The sequence below is a fragment of the Homo sapiens genome, chromosome 17 (assembly GCF_000001405.40).
Source record: "Homo sapiens chromosome 17, GRCh38.p14 Primary Assembly".
Classification (NCBI taxonomy): Eukaryota; Metazoa; Chordata; class Mammalia; order Primates; family Hominidae; genus Homo; species Homo sapiens.
This window is the reverse complement of record NC_000017.11, coordinates 19,429,445-19,437,495: the sequence shown is the minus strand read 5'-3', so window position 1 is coordinate 19,437,495 and position 8,051 is coordinate 19,429,445. Positions and strand designations below refer to the sequence as shown.

Genomic DNA, 8,051 nt, shown 5'->3' with positions numbered 1-8,051 from the left:
TTGTGCCTGAGTTCCAAGGGAGGAAGGTATAATGAGGCATATCAAACCACCCATTCCCATCATGGCCAGAAGTAGTGTTTCAGTTTATTTTGGAATCCCCTTGGCCAAGAAGAGGGGTCCATTCAGTTGGTTAAGGGGCTTAGAATTTTATTTTTGGTTTACAATCCAATATGTAGATGATTTGCTGATAGCCTAAGAAACTAAAGAGCAATGCCAAACTGATACTTTTGGCTTTGTTAGAATTCCTCACTTCAGAGAGGCTTAAGGCCTTACTAGACAAATTGTAATATTGCCAAACTGAGGTAAAATATTTAGGACATTTGTCACTGAAGAACACAAAAGTGTTATAATCTAGGAGTTAGCTAATTTTTCACATGAAATGGTCTACAACAGGAAAAATAACTTAAAGACAATTTTAGAGATGGGTAGGATATTTTCCACAGTGGACTCCAAGGTCAAACGACAAAACTACAACAAATTTAAAGATCTCAATTTACTTTATTATGAGCCTAGAATTGGGCAACACTCCATTCCAGAAAACAGAATAAGTGTTCCCACGAGCTGAGCAGAAGGGGTTGGCTTTACAGACAGAAGGGATGAAGAAAGCAGAAGCAAAGAACAAAGAGCATATCCCTGGTTTCAAAGCTACTTTTCTGGTAAGGTGGGCACAGGAAGACAGAACAATAGAGAATAACTGACTAGGTTATTCTCAGGTTGCTTCAGGCTGCTGCTTTTGTGTGAGGATTAAAGCAGAGAGAATTCATTATCATGCTGCTTAAAAATGGAAACTGGCCTGTTTGGGAAATCTCTCTCCTGTCAGATAACAACTTAGTTTTGGTTTTGTAACCTGGAACTTTAGCATAGGTGACTCTATTTTGATTTTTAGTCTGGTCCTCTGGGGTCTAGTGCAGGAGCTTCATCCAAAACAATGATCTCCCATAATTTTACTTTACTTAACACCAGCTTTTACAGGGCAGGCAAAAACCTCTGATGGAGCATTACATGACAATATTCCAGAATCTCTGACTTAATCCTTAGAACCTGAAAAGGCTTTTTTGTTTTGTTTTGTTTTTGAGACAGAATCTTGCTCTGTGGCCCAGGCTGGAGTGCAATGGCATGATCTCGGCTCACTGCAACCTCCTCCTCCTGGGTTCAAGTGGTTCTCATGTCTCAGCCATCTAAATAGCTGGGACTATGGGCACAGGCCACCACAGTTGGCTCATTTTTATATTTTGTAGAGACGGGGTTTCACCATGTTGACCAGAGTGGTCTCAAACTCCTGGTCTCAAATGATCCGCCCACCTCGGCCTCCCAAAGTGCTGGGATTACAGGCATGAGCCACCGTGCCTAGCCTGAAGAGCCTTTTGAACAACTGAAATTGGCTATAGTCTCTCTCCATGCTTCAAGAATTCCAAACTTTGAAAAAACCTTTCCAAGTGATTTGCCATGAAAGGCACTGCTGGTAGTGTTCCTGGACCAAACCAAGGGTCTGGCTGCTTACTTTCATGGCCCAATAATAAGATGCAGATGAACTGGGAAAGAAGAGAGTTTATTTCTGTAACCGGGTACAGGGAAAAGGTTAGGAAAATATCACCAAACCAACCCAAAATTGCAAAGTTTTCTAGAGCTTATATACCTTCTAAGTTATATATGTCTGCGTGTAAGTGTGCATTCATCTAAATACATAAGTGATTAATTTCTAGTCTATAACTAAGGTCTGAATCATGAAGACCTTATTCTAGAGCCTCAGTAAATTTACTTAATCTAAATGGGTCCAGGTGTCAGGCGTGATTACCCTTATCTTGTCTCCTGTTAAATCATGGAGGTTTGGGAGATCCTTCAGACCCCCAACAAAACTTGTTTAATCTGGCCGGGCACGGTGGCTCACGCCTATAATCCCAGCACTTTAGGAGGCTGAGGCAGGTGGATCACCTGAGGTCGGGAGTTCAAGACTAGCCTGGCCAACATGGTGAAACCCCATCTCTACTAAAAATACAAAAAATTAGCTGGGCATGGTGGCCGGCGCCTGTAATCCCAGCTACTTGGGAGGCTGAGGCAGGAGAATCTCTTGAACTCGGGAAGTGGAGGTTGCAGTGAGCCGAGATCGTGCCATTGCACTCCAGCCTGGGTAACAAGAGCAAAATTCTGTCTCAAAAATAACAAAAACAAAACAAAAAACCCAACTTGTTTAATCTTGGCCGGGCATGGCAGCTTACACCTATTGTATGCCCGGTACTTTGGGAGGCGGAGGTGGGTGGATCATCTGAGGTCAGGAGTTTGTGACCAGCCTGGCCAATATAGTGAAACCCCGTCTCTACCAAAAATACAAAAATTAGCTGGGCGTGGTGGCACATGCCTACAGTCCCAGCTACTCAGGAAGCTGAGGCAAGAGAATCGCTTGAACCCAGGAGGCGGAGGTGCAGTGAGCTGAGATTGTGCCACTGCACTCCAGCCTGGGCAACACAGTGAGACTCCATTTAAAAAATAAAAAATAAAACTTGTTTAATTCTAAACAGGTCCTGTTAAGAATTCCTTCATTATCCTGTCATGCTTCAAGGCCCAGAAAAGGCCTAAGCAAGACTCTTGGTGGGCTTCTGTTATATTCCAGCCTTTGTATAGGGGCCCTGGGTCTTTCAGCTTTTAATATTTAACCTAACCACTCAGTGCCGAAGCAGTTGGCATGGAGGCCTGCCTGTTCAGCTGTTAGTGAGACCTGGCCTGCCACAGTAGAATTTAATTCAAAAGTTGGTATTAGACGATAGACCAGTAGCATACTTCTCAGTTCTTCTGGGTACCTGGATGCCTTCGAGCTATGGCAGGAGCTGCTACACTTATTATAGGGGCTCAAGCCCTTACTTTGGGTCTTAATAAGAGAGATGAAAAAAACAAACTGCTTTTCCTACTCACACCACTCAACACAACACTTCACTTCTGACACCAGATGTCTGTGGGCTTGTCCTCACACACTAAGCAGTTCTACAGTGGATACCAAGTGGGAGTCCTCCCATTCAATTCAATTCTGACACTCTACCTGGGCATAGTGTCAGATCCCACAGGTTAAGGCTTAGTTCTATTTTCACAAGACTGGCCTATTTTCAGACACCAATTGCAAGTAGCAGGTTGTCACCTATGCATCTAACTGAGCAGCTATAAATTGGGGTTCCCACAACCCCGTTCTAATTTGTTAGGAAGTTCACAGAACTCAAGGAAACATTTACTTATGTTTACCAGCTTATTATATTAGTAAGGAATATTACAGAGGATGTAGATGAATAGCCAGGCAGAAGTGATCCATAGGGCAAGGTATGGAAGGTAAGGGGCAATAAGCTTCCATGTCCTGTCCTGCAGCACACCCCCATGGCATCCTGTAAGCATGCCACCCTACAGACAGCTCCATCTATTCAGCAATTCAGAAGCTCTCTGAACCCCATCTTTTTGGAATGTTCTGGAGGCTCATTATGTAGGCATGATTGATCAATCATTGGCCATTGGTAATCAACTCAAGCTTCAGGCCCTCTCTACTCTCCAGTGTTAGAAGGTGGGGCTGAAAGTGCCAAACCTCTAATTGTATGGTTGGTTTCCGTGTCAACCAGCCCCATCCTAAGGCTATCTGGGAACCCCCAGCCACTAATCATCTCACTAGCATACAAAAAGACACTTATCACTCCAGACATCCCAAGAGTTTAGGAGCTGGTATGCCAGGAACCAGGAACAAAAATCAAAATCACAATATCAAAGCATCTGAAGGAAATCAAATGATTTTACCATAAAATATATTTTCTCGACATAGCTCAAGGCAGATATTCAGAAGGGTTGGAAATACAAAAATAACTAAAAAGCTGCCTTTTGTGGGGGAGATTTGCATCTGTAGAGAAATCTGCACTGATGAAGCCAGGCTGTCTCTGAGGCCTTCCCTCATCCAGATCTGGGAAAGATTAAGCGAGAGTCTGACACCTTTAAAGTCTAACAGAAACATTCACCACCTATTCTCTCTCGAGGGCCGCTACCTGTGAGGCTTCATCTACATAACAAGACCCCCTTTGCTAGCCAGCCCTCCTCTTCTTCCCCTCCATAACCTCTGTTGCCGCCATAAACTGATCTAACACTGTAATCTGGTTTTGGCCCTGCTGTGAGCCCCCATTGTTAATGTAACCTCAAGATAGTACATAAGCTTCAGAACCCCACTGGGGAGTGGGGGTAATCACTGCGATTTTCCTTCTGTGGATATTAGTACATTTCTATGTCATTTCTCCTATTAATTTACCTATTGTGAGTTGATTTTTCAGCAGAATTTTCCCTTGCCCCCTAAGTTTTGGTGCTGTGAGCAGGATACTATTGACAGAAAGGTTACATAACAGGCACTATAACTTAAAGAAATTTAAAGTTAGTTTTATCCCGAGTGAAGTTTGAGGACTAATTCTCTGGGAAATACAGACTCAGAACAAACCAAAAATGTCTCCCCAAGTGGGCTACACGAGATAGTATTTATACATTCTGTTACATGGAAATGGAGAAGCAAAGGTGACATTCCTACAATTCTGATTGGTGCTCAGTGACGTTGTACATAAGATAAAGCAAATACGTGGTTAACATATATAGGGTGTGAAAATAAGTAATTCAAAATCTAAGCTTTTGGAACCTTAAAATATTTTGAGCCTTAAGGGAATGTGATTATGGGACCTGAGTCACATAAACTGGCAGCTGTAACCTAGGAAGCTGTAACTTTTGTTTCCCTGATTATACATTAGTCTTTTTTCTTACCTAAATTATTTTGTAAAATGTTGTAAATGAATGAAGGATGCCAGGGAAGACCCCTTCCCTCTCAACTATTGATCTTCATCATAGATTAACTTCCCTCTTTCCTCTCTCACACAAAGATTTCATGAGGATCACATTGTCTAAAATGGAATGTTAAACACACTTTTTGTGTGTTTAACATCTAACAATGGAAAGGAGGTGAAAACATGCTGCAGCTAATTAAACTGTAACTAATAAACCAGCCCTGTGTAGAAAATGTTATAATCCTACTAGATTTTTTTTTGTTTTCTGTCAATATAAGTGAGACCTTAACTTGTCTTTTTTTTTTTGAGATGGAGTCTCGCTCTGTTGCCCAGGCTGCAGTGCAGTGGTGCTATCTCGGCTCACTGCAACCTCCGCACCCTGGGTCCAAGCAATTCCCCTGCCTCAGCCTCCTGAGTAGCTGGGACTACAGGCGTGTACGCCAGCACGCCTGGCTAATTTTTTGTATTTTAGTAGAGATGGGGTTTCACCATGTTGACCAGGATGGTCTCGATCTCCCGACCTTGTGATCTGCCTGCCTCGGCCTCCCAAAGTGCTGGGATTACAGATGTGAGCCACCGCACCTGGCCGAGACCTTAACTTTTAATTTCGGAGCACTGGAGTCTGTGTTTACTGGATGGCAATTGCCAGTTTTTCACTTGAATAAACTCCTTAAAACTGGATGCTGATCCTTTCAATTATTTCAGGTTGACAAGGGTAAAAGGTTAACGAGCATGTAGGCATCTTAGGGGATGACTGATTCTATACTGTCTTTGTGCTTCGTGGGATAGGCAAGGTTGTAATCAATAATTCAGTGAAGTATTTGACAAACTCAAGCCTTGCAGGCGAGAGTTCAGCTTTAGTCCATAGGCCCAGTTTCTATTACCCATATGTCCAACTTGCAGCCATCTTGGGCCACTTTTAAGATTTTCCTTTTTCTGACAAAACCAAAGCTCTGCTCTTCTGAAGCCACAGTTTAGGGAACCCAGGACCTGACCAGCCTGTGGAAGGATAAGACATTCTTACCACCCAGGCTCCCTGCCTCTCTTTTTGCAGAATCCAGTCAAGCAGAAGGTAAAAGTCAGTGTCTCTATTTTCCTCTGCAAAATCTTGATTAATGGGAGAAAAGGATTCGTGTCTAGTCTTGGGTGTAGCGACTCTTGTGTACTTTTTGGTAAAAGTATTCATATTGTTTGCTCTCCTCCTCAGACGGATCTTTTAAATTAGAAACATTTCTAATTTTTTTTAAAAAAGGATTTTAGAGATCCCTTATTCTAAACAATTGCCTTATTTGTATTTATGAGAAAATTAAATTAAAAGAAAGACAGCATAGTGGTGTCATGACTAGATTTAGAAACTCTCTTGAGAAAATTAACAATCAAAAATTTGACCTACCCAGGCATGGTGGCTCATGCCTGTAATCCCAGCATTTGGGAGGCCAAGGCAGGTGGATCACTTGAGGCCAGGAGTTCGAGACCAGCCTGGCCAACACTGCGAAACCCTGTCTCTACTAAAAATACAAAAATTAGCTGGGCGTGGTGGCGTGCACCTGTAGTTCCAGCTACTCGGGAGACTGCGGGACGAGAATCACTTGGACCCAAGAGGCAGGGGTTGCAGTGAGCCAAGATGGTGCCACTGCATTCCAGCCTGGGTGACAGAGTGAGATACCATCTAAAAAAAAAATTGACCTAAAACGAAGTTAAAATCCTTTGTATGCTCAAACTGCCTGCTTTGGATCCCCTGTAGGATTTACAATGACCGCATTCTATCTTCCAGTTTAGGAGTTAAAATTCCACACTTTTACCACCATAGCCTGGATTCAGTGTTCAATTCCCAGTCAGGGCATCAGTCTCATTTGGTTTGACATTTGTGTGACTTTTGACTTCTGGGAGCGACCAATTTTTATTGAAGAGGGTACCTTTAGTAAAAGAGTTCAAAAGCCAGGAGTATTAGCTACTTGTTCTGAATAAAGTCTGATAATAAGAGATTTGCAAATATTTTCCTAGAGCTCTGTGGTCAGAAGTGGGCTTAATTAAAAGCTGATATTCAAGCTACATACATTTTTTTTCTAAAGGCCTTTCTGCTTTTTGGATCCTGTTTTGGGGATTTTTTTTTCTAGTCAACTGAAACCCTGTGTGTGTGTGTGTGTGTGTGTGTGTTTGTGTGTGTGTTATGTTCTGTATGTGTGTTTCTTTTTTTTCTTTTTTTTCTTCTTTTTTGAAACCCCTTTTTGAGTTATGTGCTTGGTCTCTCTGTTTGCTTCCTTCCTTGAGAATTGTTCTCCCATTTACTTCTTTTTTTTTTTTTTTTTTTTTTTTTTGATGGCATCTCGCTCTCTTGTCCAGGTTGGAGTGCAGTGGTACAACCTCTACCTCCCTGGTTCAAGCTATTCTCTTGCCTCAGCCTCCCAAGTAACTGGGATTACAGACATGCACCACCACGCCTGGCTAATTTTTGTATTTTTAGTAGAGACGGGGTTCACCATGTTGGCCAGGCTGGTTTCGAACTCCTGACCTCAGGTGATCGGCCCACCTCAGCCTCCCAAAGTGCTAGGATTACAGGCATGAGCCACTGTGCCCAGCCTCTCCCATTTACTTCTAATCCTCCCTGCTTCTCCTTGTTTTGTCATCTTCAGTGCCACATAAAGCCATCTAGAAGGGACTTCTAATGACTCTGAGACCCTTGAGGAAAACAGAAAAAGGCTCCACTCACCCCCTTTCTAAAGTCTTCTGTTTTCCTTGAGAAATTCTTCCTCCAAAGAGTTGCAGGCAGGTTCCCCTCCATCTAAAGCTCTGCTCCCTCTTGCATTGCACTGCATGATCTCTTCGGCTTTGTGGGGGTAGCAGGGATTACTCTGTGCTATGAGAGAACACAACCTTTGTGTGTGTGAGAAAGCTGGCTGGTCACTGGTGAGGGCTGCAGTTTTGGAGATGGCTGACTGCAGCTGTTTGCAAGGGGCTACTCATTTCTTTGGGTGTTTAGATAAGAAAGGTGCAGTGTGGACACTTGGAGGCTGTGGAAACACTCACCACCAAGGCATAGGACTCTCAAGAGAATGAGCTCAGCACAGAATGGGCTGATTGGCATTGGGTTTCTCTTGCAGTAAGGTGCACTGTGGAAGCATCGTACAAGACTTGGTCCTGGCCGGGTGCAGTGGCTCGCGCCTGTAATCCCAGCACTTTGGGAGGCCGAGGGGGGCGGATCACCTGAGGTCGGGAGTTTGAGACCAGCCTGACCAACATGAAGAAACCCCGTCTCTACTAAAAATACAA

General features: G+C 43.3%; 1 annotated feature.

Annotated features, from left to right (window-relative positions):
* Positions 3,761-4,299: an enhancer, noted in NCBI's record as "NANOG-H3K27ac hESC enhancer chr17:19336510-19337048 (GRCh37/hg19 assembly coordinates)". NCBI's record gives its function as "activates a minimal SCP1, AML or CMV promoter by ChIP-STARR-seq in primed H9 embryonic stem cells {active_cell/tissue: H9 hESC(primed)}" and the evidence as "EXISTENCE:reporter gene assay evidence [ECO:0000049][PMID:30033119]".